Source organism: Homo sapiens, chromosome 5 (genome assembly GCF_000001405.40).
Source record: "Homo sapiens chromosome 5, GRCh38.p14 Primary Assembly".
Taxonomy (NCBI): Eukaryota; Metazoa; Chordata; class Mammalia; order Primates; family Hominidae; genus Homo; species Homo sapiens.
The window spans coordinates 69,166,350-69,179,596 of record NC_000005.10 but is presented as its reverse complement, the minus strand read 5'-3'; the positions used below and the strand labels follow the sequence as shown (position 1 = coordinate 69,179,596).

Sequence of the window (13,247 nt, the reverse complement as noted above, 5' to 3'; positions counted from 1 at the left end):
AACCTGGGAGGCGGAGGTTGCAAGTGAGCTGAGATCATGCCACTGCACTTCAGCCTGGGTGACAGTGTGAGCCTCCGTCTCAAAAAAAAAAAAAAAAAAGTTAACGTGGCAAATATCTTTTGCCAGTTGGAGTCATAGAAATAAAAGACTGATTACCTTCAGTTTTAATAATGCAGAGAAAACTGGCACCTTTTGACTCCGTCTCAAAAAAAAAAAGTTAAAATGGCAAATATTTTTTGCCAGTTGGAGTCATAGAAATAAAAGACTGATTACCTTCAGTTTTAATAATGCAGAGAAAACAGGCACTTTTGTATGTCATCTGGTTCTATCAAAATTTAAAATGCATGTTTGCTTTAGGGAACCTAGAATACACACAAAAAAGCATGGTATAAAACAGTAAATTGGCCAGGTGTGGTGGCTCACGCCTTTAATCCCAGCACTTTGGGAAGCTGAGGCGGGTGGATCACCTGAGGTCGGGTGTTCAAGACCAGCCTGACCAACATGGTGAAACTGCGTCTCTACTAAAAATACAAAATTAGCCGGGCGCGGTGGCGCATGCCTGTAATCTCAGCTACTCAGGAGGCTGAGGCAGGAGAATCGCTTGAACCTGGGAGGCAGAGGTTGCAGTGAGCTGAGATAGCGCCATTGCACTCCAGCCTGACGACAGAGTGAGACTCTTGTCTCAAAAAAAAAAAAAAAAACAAAAACAAAAGCCCCAAAAAACAGTATTATCAACAAAATTGTAGGGGCAAAAAGAAAAAGCAATCTGAACGAACAGGGGAAATGGTTGAATCCATTAGTCATGTGTTGCTTAAGGACTGGGATATGGTTTGAGAAACCTATCATTAGGTGATTTTATTGTTCAAACATCAGTGTACTCACACAAATCTAGATGGCATACCCTCCTGCACTCCTAGGCTATATAGTATAGGTTATAGCTCCTAGGCTACAAATCTATACACCATATTATTGAATACTGCAGGCAATTATAACACAAGTCAGTATTTGTGTATCTAGGCACAAGAAGAGGTACAGTAAAAATATGGCATCATAATCTTATGGGACCACCATTGTATCTGTAATCTATCTTTGACCAAAATGTTCATGGGGCACATGACTATTTATCTGTACCATGTAATATAATGCACAAATACAGGTAGGCTTATGTATGTTGAAAGTAATTGTTATGTATATAGAATGAACCACATTTTTAAAAAACCCATAAAAATTCATATGCACATCTGTATTTATACAAGGCATGAAGGATAAATCCATAATTGATGTCCTTCAGGTGGGTGGGATTTAGAAAGAGCCTAAGGAAGCAGTAAACTAACTTTTTAAAAAAGATACCTTTTGTATTTGAGTATTGTTTTATTAACCAAAACACAAAACCAAAATGAAAACTGGCTTAGAATATAAAATTCTCATTTTTCAAAGTGAAAGTTTGAAGATACTAGCTAAAGTTGATAACTTAAATAGTGGTAAAAGTAAATAACTTAGAATTATGGCAGCAATCACAAGAAGAAACAGAAAACAGGGGGACTAGGGATTCGGTGGTAGACTTTTACTTTAAAATAGAGCTATGCAGCAGATTCTCCATGACTTGGCTTACATGCAGTATGTCCTATGGAAGTAAAATTTTCAAATACCTCCATCACCTTCAGTAACTCATATTAATAAAGTAAAAGCCAGGTATATAAAACAAGAACCCAGTATATAAACATATACATCAATTGGATCCCCAGGTAAACCAAAAGGAGTTTTTAAAAATATCCCCACCATACCTTTTAAGACAACTTTTCCGCTACCCTACAGTAGGAAGTAACCACATTCAAATTAGTTAAGCTATAAAAAAGTAAAAGGGGCCACAAGCTTTATTAAAAGTAAATGCAACAGTAATATGTACAGATGGCACATGGTGCCAATTTTATTTGTAAATATAGTACTCCAACTCAAGTTTACAAGTTACACCTTTGCCACAGCCTTGGCTAAATCTTGAACTAGTGCAGAATTCAGCTGTGGTAGAGTGCTGATCTTAGCATGCTTCGATGTGGCATACTTGTTCTTGACAGTCTGGAAGACAAAAAGATAGCAATTAAAGAGGCAAAAGAAAAAAAATCACAAGATGCAATGATACAGGTATTCATTTAAAACATTAACTCATTAAAAATAAACCAGGCATTTGCAGGCATTAAGTTTGAATTATTACACTTTTCAGCATCTTACAATGCCACTATATTGACTCACCATGTGCTTTGTAAGTCCTTGATTTACCATGACTACATTCTTAGCCAGGTGCTGCATAACTGGAAGAAGAGATTCTTCAGTATATGACAGGTAATGTTGTAGAGTTGGTGTCTAAGGCAACAAGTTAATGTTAAAAATGCTCAAATCAATAATGATTTTCATAAAGTTTCTAGATGTTAGATGTTATTCAGGAGTGGAAAAGAGATGGGTACTGTATAATTAATATAACTGAAATTTAAGACAAAGCTAAAGACTCCTTTCCTAGGTGCTCTCATGCTTCCTCTGCTCAAACCTAATTGCACTTTTGTAATTGCTGACTTGCCCACCCTAAAACTAGACTCCACTTCCTTGAGGCCAACTTTGTAATTTTTTTTTTTTTTGAGATGGAGTCTCGCTCCAGGCTGGAGTGCATGGTATGATCTCGGCTCACTGCAACCTCCGCCCCCAGGTTCAAGTGATTCTCCTGCCTCAGCCTCCTGAGTAGCTGGGATTACAGGCGCGCACTGCCACACCTGGCTAATTTTTGTATTTTTAGTAGAGATAGGGTTTCACCATGTTGGTCAGGCTGGTCTTGAACTTTTGAGCTCGTGATCTGCCCAACTCTGCCTCCCAAAGTGCTGGGATTACAGATGTAAGCCACTGCACCCAGCTACATAGTTCTATTCTTAAGACCTAGGGTAGGCCGGGCACAATGGCTCACGCCTGTAATCCCAGCACTTTGGGAGGCCAAGGTGGGCGGATCACGAGGTCAGGAGATCAAGACCATCCTGGCTAACACGGTGAAACCCCATCTCTACTAAAAAAAAATATATATATATATATAAAATTAGCCGGGCGTGGTGGCAGGCACCTGTAGTCCCAGCTACTCGGGAGGCTGAGGCAGGAGAATGGCATGAACCCAGGAGGCGGAGGTTGCAGTGAGCCGAGATCACGCCACTGCTCTCCAGCCTGGGCGACAGAGAGAGACTCCGTCTCGAAAAAACAAAAAAAGACCTAGGGTAGTGCCTGTCACATAGGAGAAGCATTTGTTGAATCAATGAATATGAATGAACTACTAGTATGTCATTTGACCTTCAAGTTTCTCCATCTGTAAGGAGTAAAAGTTGCTCTACCTTTCTCAAAGGGAATAAAGTTGAAATCAGGGAAAGAAATGGAAACACTCGACTGGTTGCAATGGCTCACGCCTGTAATTCCAACACTTTGGTAAGTGGAGGTGGGTGGATCGCTTGAGCCCAGAGTTTCAAGACCAGCCTGGGTAATATAGAGAGACCCCATGTCTACAAAAAATACAAAGCTCAGCCTCCAGAGTAGCTGGGACTACAGGCGTGTGCCTGTATATATATATATATATATATATATATATATATTTTATATATTTTTTGTAAAGATGAGGATTTGCTATGTTGCCCAGGCTGGTGGGCGACTCTTTTGTAGTTCATAAGTGTGATGATTTGGTGTTCATGTGAACATGTGAAACGTGCCACCCTCAAACCTTGTTACAATGTGGGCATATTACCCATCTGACATGAAAAAAATTTAAAAACTAGACAGACACCTGTAATCCCAGCTACTCTGGAGGCTGATGTTGCAGTGGGCCAAGACTGCACCACTGCACTCCAGCCTGAGTGACAGAGCGAGACCTTGTCTCAAAAACAAAAAGATGTGGAAACATTCTAAGACATCTTTTTTAACTATTCCTTCAGTAGATCCCATATTTATGAACCACTTGAATTGCCTTTTAATAACAAAAGTTCTGTATTTAGTCACTCTTTAAAATTTAAAAGCTTAGGAGTTCTGTGGGACACAGCTTACCCATTCACCATTATCCAGAATTTTCAGTGCTAAGCAAAAAGCTCCTGCTGCAATTTGAGAAGGAGGAAAGTGCACCATGTCATAGTCCAACATAGTTAGTTCCATCAGGTATTTGGCCAAAGTATGTTGCTCGACATCAACCTGAAACAAAACCCATGTTACTGAGTTTCTTTCAGAAAATTTTCCTTTGGCACTAACCTGCATGCCCATATGTATCTTTAACTACAAATGTTTGTCTACAAACTCTCAAATGCCCATGGAAAGTCCTAATATTAACATGCAGCCTGACTAGAAATAAAGAACAACTTTATCCCTTCCCCATGTAGTTAGGTATAATACAGGTCAGTTGAATTCAACGTGCTTGGTCAGCAGCAGTGTTCCCCCTAATGTACCCATACGGAGAGGTTTCTCAAGAAACCTGTACCTCTCCAATCTTAGATGCTCTCCGAAGGAAGTGCAAAGGTAGAGGCCGACCCAGACCAAAGTTTAAAGCTCTTAGAATCTTCATTTCCATCTGTCTGATTTGGTGCTTAGTATAAGTGTTGTCAGTCACAAAAGCAAAGTCACCAATTTCTGGAGGGTACATTTCTTCATATTTGCTTGCAATAAACATGGCAGTGACACCAACCAGCTGCAGCATCTTCTTGGGCACACAATTATTCTGCAATGGGAATTTCAATAGGGTGAATAAAATGTTTGAAAAGGAGACACAGAGCTATGATGAAGGAGAGGTAGAAAGACATTCTCCCATAGCAAAATCTTAATGACACCATATCCCCCAAGAAAGATTTTAGTTGAAAAAGTCAGTTTATTTCTTTCTTTTTTTTTTGAGTCTCGCTCTGTCACCCAGGCTGGAGTGCAATGGCGTGATCTCAGCTCACTGCAACCTCCGCCTCCAGTAGCTGGGACTACAGGCGCCCGCCACCATGCCCGGCTAATTTTTTGTATTTTTAGTAGAGACAGGGTTTTACTGCGTTGGCCAGGATGGTCTCGATCTCCTAACCTTGTGATCCACCCGCCCGCTGGGATTACAGGCATGAGCCACTGCGCCCAGACTGGCCTGAAAACATCAGTTTCTTATGACTCGGCTAGAATCCTGGAAGGGAAAACTCTTACTGAAATGCTCACCTGCATGAACCGATCAATAATGGAGACAGTCATGTACATGGTCTCCTGCAACAACCTGAATTTCATTTGAACCTGTACTAGCCAGTCAATTAGGATGGCTCTCATGTTTCCAGTGACTTCCCGACCCAGTAGGTATTTTGGTCTGACTGCTTGCTCTTCCTGCAAAAGAAAATGCTGATTATTCTTAGAAACATGACTCCATGTGACACATTTATGTCCAGAAAGATCAGTTAGTTCCTACAGTAGCACTGGGGCATTTATAATCTATATCAGTTCTTAATTCAATTATTCATATGGTCAACCACAAACAACACCATCACCAAGAAATAAAGCAAACATGAAGGCTGGCGTGGTGGCTCACGCCTGTAATCCCAGCACTTTGGGAGGCTGAAGTTGGCAGATTGCTTGCAGCCAGGAGTTCGAGACCAGCCTGGCCAACATGGCAAAACCTGTCTTTACTAAAAATACAAAAATTAGCTGGGCATGGTTGCGCACACCTGTAGTTCCAGCTACTTGGGAGGCTGAGGCAGGAGAATTGCTTGAACCTGGCAGGTGGAGGTTGCAGGGAGCCGAGATTGCACCACTGCACTCCAGCCTGGGTGACAGAGTGAGACTGTCTCCCCACCCCAAAAAAAAAAGAAAAAAAAGGCAAACATTAGATAGGACAGTATGACAGCTTTTTTATATTGTCAGGTCTTACGATATTCTTCACCACAACTGCTGCTGGTCCACTCCCTTCCAAATAAAGATACTACATTATCATCTCAGATCTTTTCACTTAAGCCTCTAAACTTAGAACCTGAGCTTTATGTAGAGAAAATATCAGTAACTCCCAGGGCAGCTGGAACCCATGTACTACAACACTCCTGCCTGCTCCTGGGTTAAATCCCAACAGCAACATAGCTAAGAACTGTGGGGACAACAGTGACTTTATTTTAAATACTAATTCAATGTGACTTCTGCCTATTCACTTTAAGTTTGGCCTTTCCTCCAAAACAGCCCTTGATATTATTGTATACATTATAGGCTGTGATGTCTGCAGCATTCTGTCAGCCACCCACACATTGATTCTAGAGCATGTATACTTTGCCCAAGAAAATGTATACATACCCAAGCCGTGGGTACGAGGGGTTACAGTGCAGAGATCTACATCTTACAGCCATCAAAGACCATACTTATGTCTGTAAATTCCCCCTCATCAGTCACCCAATACCAGCAAACTCCATTTATCTGCCTAATTCCTTGGTTTCTCAGCTCCTCTGCCACTTGAGGGGTTGCTTTGCATAAATGGCCTTGCACAGAACAAGAACGAAGCATCAAGAAACAGCACATTTACAGGCTGGGCGCGGTGGCTCACACCTATAATCCCAGCACTTTGGGAGGCCAAGGCGGGTGGATCATGAGGTCAGGAGATTGAGACCATCCTGGCTAACACGGTGAAACCCCGTCTCTACTAAAAATATAAAAAATTAGCCAGGCGTGGTGGCGGATGCCTGTAGTCCCAGCTACTCAGGAGGCTGAGGCAGGAGAATGGCGTGAACCCGGGAGACAGAGCTTGCAGTGAGCCGAGATTGTGCCACTGCACACCAGCCTAGGTGACACAGCGAGACTCTGTCCCAAAAAAAAAAAAAAAAAAAAAAGAAACAGCACATTTACTAAATTGAATCCTCCAAAGTTAGAACACAACTTTAAAAAGCACTAGAAAGATGGAAGAAGAAACTAAAAGCAGAAGGCTGCTCCTGGCAAAGAAGTCTTGCAGAAGAATCCTATAGAAAAAGGAGAGGCCAAAAAGGAGCAGGCAAGAGATGAACATGTCAGTGATGACATAAGACAACACATTAGAAACAACTGGGGGCTGGGTGCGGTTGCTCAGGCCTGTAATCCCAGCACTTTGGGAGGCCGGGATGGGTAGATCATCTAAGGTCAGGAGTTCGAGACCAGCCTGGCCAATATGGTGATACCTCATCTCTACTAAAAGTACAAAAATTAGCTGGGTGTTGTGGTGGGCACCTGTAATCCCAGCTGCTCGGGATGCTGAGGCATGAGAATCACTTGACCCGAGGCGGAGGCTGGACTGAGCCGAGATTGCACCACTGCACTCCAGCCTGGGCAACAGAGCAAGACCCTGTCTCAAAAAAACCAAAACCAAATAAAAATACAAAAAATTAGCCAGGCATGGTGGTGTGTGCCTGCAACCCCAACTACTTGGGAGGCCGAGGCAGGAGAATTGCTTGAACCCAGGAGACAGAGACTGCAGTGAGCTGAGACCGCACCACTGCCCTCTAGCCTGGGCGACAGTGTGAGACTCCATCTCAAAAAAACAAAACAACAACAACAAAAAAACTACGTAAATGTGGTAACAGTATAATTTATGTTACTATGTTTATGCTGCCATAAAGAGTGCTTGTATTTGTAGGGAAAGGGCAAATGCCATTAATAGAAAGTTTCAAAAGTGGGATCAAATTGAAGTGAACCAAAAAAGTAGCTTTTGAGTGTACTCCTTTTGGGCACAAATAATTTCACCAACAACTGGATGCACATCAGCCACACTAACACAAAATGCCTTGTGTTAGGGGTGGCTGTAGTCTTTGAGTATATTCTACATCCTCATCCACTTCCTGACCCGTTATCACCTAAAATGCAGAGTTTGGGACTTAACCATTCCAAACGTGGTGGAGATCGCATATATACATATCAAATTCAATCTGTGGATTTTCCTTTAGAAAGCGATAGTAGTATCCACCCTAACTTCGAACTTTCCTGCACAAAGTGACAAATAGACTCCATTGGTTTATTTAGTGACTTTTTATTATAGGTATTCCATGAAGGAGAATTTGAAAGTGCGATCTCTTAAGAAATGCTGCCCACGTCCTGCTTGTATTATTATAAACTATTGATGGAAAATACTTTCATAAAGTTAGATGCAGTTTAGAAAAAAAACGAATGATAATACTTACCTCAAGTTGTCTCAGATAAGCATAAATATCTTTCACATATTCACTACAAAGGTTTGGATCAGCTCCATCTTCTGCATCCACATCATTTACTGCAAGAATTACATCAGAGAAAGCCTGACACAGGTCTTCTTCTGCAGGGGCACATCCAGATGTTTCCATTGGGCTTGGAGAGGCAGTATCAACCTTGAAACAAAGAGATATCTTGAAATAGCAAATAGAAGTAAGCACTATAGTTTGGGCATGAAGTTCAGGTTATTGGTACCAACTCAAGCTAGTATTCTGCTGAATCGGCATACAATTCATTTCCTTAAAGGAAAAGTATCTTTTCAGATTTATTCCATTTCTTTTTAGGAAGTGATTAACATCAAAAGTGATCATTTGGGTTGGGCGCGGTGGCTCACACCTTTAATCTCAGCACTTTGAGAGGCTGAGGTTGAGGCTAGGAGTTCAAGACCAGCCTGGGCAACATAGCAAAACCCTGTCTCTGTTAAAAAAGAAAAAAGTGATCATTTAATTCCTCAATTAAAAAGAATGAGGTTGGGCATAACAGCTCAAGCCAGTAATCCCAGTACTTTGGGTGGCTGAGGTGGGAGGATCCTTTGAGACCATGAGTTCCAGACTAGCCTGGGCAATATAGCAATAACTCATCTCTACAAAAAATTAGCTGGGCATGAAGGCAGCTGCCTACAGTCCTAACTACTCAGGAGGCCCAGGCAGGAGGATCACTTGAGCCCAGGAGTTTGAGGATACAGTGAGCTATGATTGCGCCATTCTACTCCAGCCTGGGCAAAAAAAAAAACAGTGAAATGCCAACTTAGAGTGAGTCAGTTTAAAGTTGGAAGCAAATAAATTCACATTCTAGACTTTGCTGCAAAGGAAACTGAGAAGTAATTAATTTTTATCAGCAACATGTGAAGTTAGTCCAAATAAATGACAATTCAGTCTTTAGTCTTTATTTCATAATATAAACTGCTTCTCACTACTCAACACAAATTCTATCCTGACTACTAAGGATTAACTAACTTCATCGCCATTAACCATTTCCTTCAAGCTCCCTTTATCCCATTGTTCAAACATTTATTGAGCACCTTCTTGAAGTCAAACTCTACAAGGCATTGACTTCATGGCATCCTCAAAGGACTCTGAATTTAGTAGACAAAGTAAAGAAATAAGGTCGGGCATGGTGGCTCACGCTTGTAATCCCAGCACTTTGGAAGGCCGAGGCAGGCAGATCACGAGGTCAGGAGTTCGAGACCAGCCTGGCCAACATCGTGAAACTCCATCTCTACTAAAAATAAAAAAATAAAAAAATAATAAAAAAATTAGCTGGGTGTGGTGGCTGGCACCTGTAATCCCAGCTACTCAGGAGGCTGAGGCAAGAGAATTGCTTGAACCCAGGAGGTAGAGGTTGCAGTGAGCCAAGATCGTGCCATTGTGCTCCAGCCTGGGTGACAGAGCAAGACTCTGTCTTGGGAAAAAAAAAATAAACAAAAATAAGACTAAGGCTGGGCATGGTGGCTCACACCTGTAATCCCAGCACTTTGGGAGGCTGAGGCGGGTGGATCACGAGATCAAGAGTTCGAGACCAGCCTGGCCAACATAGTGAAACCCCGTCTCTACTAAAAATACAAAAATTAGCCAAGCATGGTGGCATGTGCCTGTAGCCCCAGCTACTTGGGAGGCTGAAGCAGGAGAATCACTGAACTCGGGAGGCAGAGGTTGTGGTGAGCCAAGATGGCACCACTGCACTCCAGTCTGGGCAACAGAGTGAGACTCTGTCTCAAAGGGAAAAAAAAGACTGATTCTAGGAACAGGGGGTGGAGATGGGGGAAGTTTGGGAAAGCTTCAGGAGTTGATGCTTGAGCTGTTTTCAAGGATGAAAAGGTTATTAGCTAAATGAAAGACAGGGTGGGGAAGGCATTCTTACTAAGTGGGAAAGCAAAGGTAAGAATCAGTATGGGCCTTCCAAGAAAGCCTCACGTAGTTTGATATGCCCAAAGACTGTGCTGGCTACATATTTCATGTGCTATGCCCAGAAATTCAACACTAAAGCAATAGCTTTCAATCTCTTATCCTTAGATATAAGAAGCTGAACTGGCTGGGCGCCGTGGCTAACGCCTGTAATCCCAGCACTTTCGGAGGCCGAGGCGGGCGGATCATGAGGTCAGGAGTACACTAACATGGTGAAACCCCATCTATACTAAAAATATGAAAATTAGCTGGGCGTGGTGGCGTGCGTCTGTAATCCCAGCTACTAGGGAGGCTGAGGCAGGAAAATTGCTTGAACCTGGGAGGCAGAGGTTGCAGTGAGCCAAGATCACGCCACTGCACTCCAGCCTGGGCAACAGAGCCAGACTCTGTCTCAACAAGTTTTTTTCAGATAATTTTCCCAACTGGTTTTAACTAAGTTTAAAAAAACAGAGCTTCAGAATACAGTTCATTGCAATTTCATCAAAGCAGCCTCCTCTACATGACCTACCTTTCCTTCACAGGTAGGTCTATCATAGAATACATTTACATACCTTATATTTAATAAAAAGTTATTATTTTTGAGGCTAAGTGTTAATTCATCTTCTTAACCACTCCCTGAAAAGTTGCCTTCTTCCTGTTTTACTCCTTTGCATATTCCAATGTTACAGGCTTATTATTTAGTAGCCATATGCAGCAGTAAAAAAATTCAAGAGAACATTCTATGTTTACGCCAATAAATTCTGCAGAGATGGCTTGTAGTTGGATAACAAAGCCTTTGGCTCAGACAGCTACTACTTAATATCATTAACGAAGGAATATAAGACAGTTGACAATTAAAAGCATAGATTCTGAAGCCAGACAGCCTGAGCTTGAATCCCATATGGGCCACTTACCTGTGTGACCCTGACATAACCTCTCTAAAGCCATGATTTAAATAGTAGAGGTGACAATACCTCAGAGAGTACGTGTAAAGATTATGTGAGTTAATGCATGTAAAATGTTAGGCAGAGCTTGCCTCATGCTAAGCACTCAATAAATGGTATTAATATTACTATTCATTTGAATGCTCTTGCATGTATCAGTGAAATAAGGGACAAGAAATAATCAACAGACTCTACAATGGTAAGAATAAGTTTACCAAAATAGGCTCAGGCGAAAGTTTTTCTTCTTTAACAGGCTCAGGTTCTGGCTCAGGTTCTGGCTCTGGCACTGGCTCAGACACTGGCACTGGCACCAGCATAGGTACCTTTTCAAGAGGTTTTGGTAGTTTTTTATCAATGACTTTTCCAGTAGCTGAAGGTTTTGCTTCCTGTAGATGAAACAGAGAGAATGAAATGTTTCTGCATCAAAGGCCACAGTTGGAAGGCGGGCTCTTACAGAAGTTAGGTCAGGAAGAGAGTTACCTTCTTCATAGGCATTTTGGCCTGCAGTTGTTCACTGACTTTGTTACCAATGTCCCCAAGAGCTGTTCTTGGCCTCAGTCCGGGCTTGGAGGTTGCAGCAGGGGCCGTAGGAACGCGCTTTGCGCCTGCCATGTTGATCTTCGCCTTATTTTCAGCATTAATTTTCGAGTTCTGAAAGAAGCAAGACCACTTTAAGAGCTGATCCACGAAGGCTCGAGTAAGTCAAGGGTTAATTAAGGTGGGGCACAAGGAGAAGTTCCCAGAAAGAAAGCCGACTAAAAATGGGTTCCGAGGGAAAACATGGGTCCCAGAGTCTACTCTGCGGCCGTGACAAGTCAGTTTCCGCCGACCTCTACATTTACCAATTGAGGGATTCCCTGATTAGTCCTGGCCAGCCCTAAAATACCGAGAATTTACATTTGAAAGGAAACCGAAAAAGCCTCCAATTGCAGACACCTTCTCTCTGGGAAGGGGGTTACAGAGTTGCTGGCGGGCCCACTCAGGGACCCTCTATCACTTTTTCAAAAGGTTCCCAGTCGACTCTCCACCTCCCCAAAACATTTATCCAATATCCGTCCAGTTCTCTTTCTCACCTTCCTCCCTCCATCCATCGTCCCCCACACTCTCTCACCAGGCCTGGGCCCACCTCGGCGCTCTCTTGGTGAGTCCCCTCCCACCTTCCTCCCCAAATCGCTCCTGCGGCCCTCTCCCGCTCGGGAGGCTCCCGCAGGCGAGGCAGGGAGAGCAGGCAGCAGCTAAGAAGGCCGCGTTAGTTCGCAGTCCGAAGCGGCTCACCCTGGTGACTCGGAGCGCCATGGCTTCCTCTTCACCAGGCAGCAGCTCAGCGGGGAGAAGCAGAACACCGGAGGCCCGACCAGCCAAGGACCTACACCCAGCAGAAACCAACAGCCGTTCCGCCGCAGCACGCCGAGAAGAGCCAGCCTAGCCTCAGATTTAAACCCCGCACTGCTCCCTCCTTATTGGCCTGTTCGTGGCACTCACTCCCTTCCCATTGGCGGCTGCCGGTCGCAGAGAATGCGTTTCCAGGGCGATCGCGCGAAGGCGTTCGAGAGGGGCGGGGCCACAGTGAGGCTAGGCCGGAAGGCCTGGCCAGGCTCTCACGTGGTCTGCCTCTGCGCCTGCGCTCTCGGGCAGCTGCAGCGGCCACCTGGAGAGCAGTGAAGCCAGTGCGCCGCCCACCTGGAAAGGTTAGCCGGGCAAGAGTGTGCGTTGCCAATGCCAGCTCAGGAAAGGCCTAGTGGCCTTTGGAAGGTGACAGAGGCGCGGCCACAGTCTCAGAAGTGTCAAAAGTAGTTTTGGATCTAGTGTTGCACACTTTCCATTTCTACGGTAGCAGCAATAATATAGTTCATGAAAGGCTTTAATAGACATTCTTTCATTTGATCGTTGCAACAACTCTCTGGGTTGGAGGAACTGAAGCTCAGCGACTTAGATGACTTTGCCAGGGTCACACATTAGCAACGGGGGAACTGAATTTAGGGTTTTTTTTTTTGAGGGGGAGGGAGGGGGTGTATCCGTGTTGTTTTCACAACACTGATTGTCCCTTAACAATATTACTTGATTACTTCAAGATTGTCCAGTTTCCCAAGGCCAATTGTTTTGTTTGTTTTAGCTTTCTATTTGGAAATAATTTCATACTTAGACCAGTTGCCAACAAAAATCTTGTAAGGAATATTTCTATGCCCTTTACTCAGATTCAACTATCCTT

General features: G+C 43.4%; 1 protein-coding gene and 1 non-coding gene across 4 annotated transcripts, besides 2 other annotated features; one reads left to right on the top strand and one right to left on the bottom strand.

Annotated features, from left to right (window-relative positions):
* Nucleotides 1-1,351: 1,351 nt before the first annotated feature.
* On the bottom strand, nucleotides 1,352-12,447 carry CCNB1 (cyclin B1). Of its 3 annotated transcripts, NM_031966.4 has the most exons (9): nucleotides 12,314-12,447; nucleotides 11,519-11,689; nucleotides 11,254-11,424; nucleotides 8,145-8,327; nucleotides 5,188-5,346; nucleotides 4,484-4,720; nucleotides 4,060-4,200; nucleotides 2,248-2,358; nucleotides 1,352-2,073 (listed from the first exon to the last, which is right to left on the bottom strand). In NM_031966.4, the coding sequence occupies exons 1-9, from the start codon at nucleotides 12,332-12,334 to the stop codon at nucleotides 1,966-1,968; spliced, it is 1,302 nt and encodes a 433-aa protein (NP_114172.1). In that variant the 5' UTR covers nucleotides 12,335-12,447; the 3' UTR covers nucleotides 1,352-1,965. The 3 variants fall into 3 exon arrangements, with proteins under 3 accessions (NP_114172.1, NP_001341773.1, NP_001341774.1); NM_001354844.2 differs by lacking the exon at nucleotides 2,248-2,358; NM_001354845.2 differs by lacking the exon at nucleotides 5,188-5,346.
* Nucleotides 3,670-3,773, top strand: LOC124901203 (small nucleolar RNA U13). Its single transcript, XR_007059167.1, has one exon. It is a non-coding gene; the product is annotated as a small nucleolar RNA U13 (small nucleolar RNA).
* Nucleotides 11,802-12,767: an enhancer, noted in NCBI's record as "NANOG-H3K27ac-H3K4me1 hESC enhancer chr5:68462657-68463622 (GRCh37/hg19 assembly coordinates)". NCBI's record gives its function as "activates a minimal SCP1, AML or CMV promoter by ChIP-STARR-seq in primed H9 embryonic stem cells {active_cell/tissue: H9 hESC(primed)}" and the evidence as "EXISTENCE:reporter gene assay evidence [ECO:0000049][PMID:30033119]".
* Nucleotides 12,192-12,421: an enhancer, noted in NCBI's record as "active region_22639". NCBI's record gives its function as "activates an Ori minimal core promoter by ATAC-STARR-seq in GM12878 lymphoblastoid cells {active_cell/tissue: GM12878}" and the evidence as "EXISTENCE:reporter gene assay evidence [ECO:0000049][PMID:35858748]".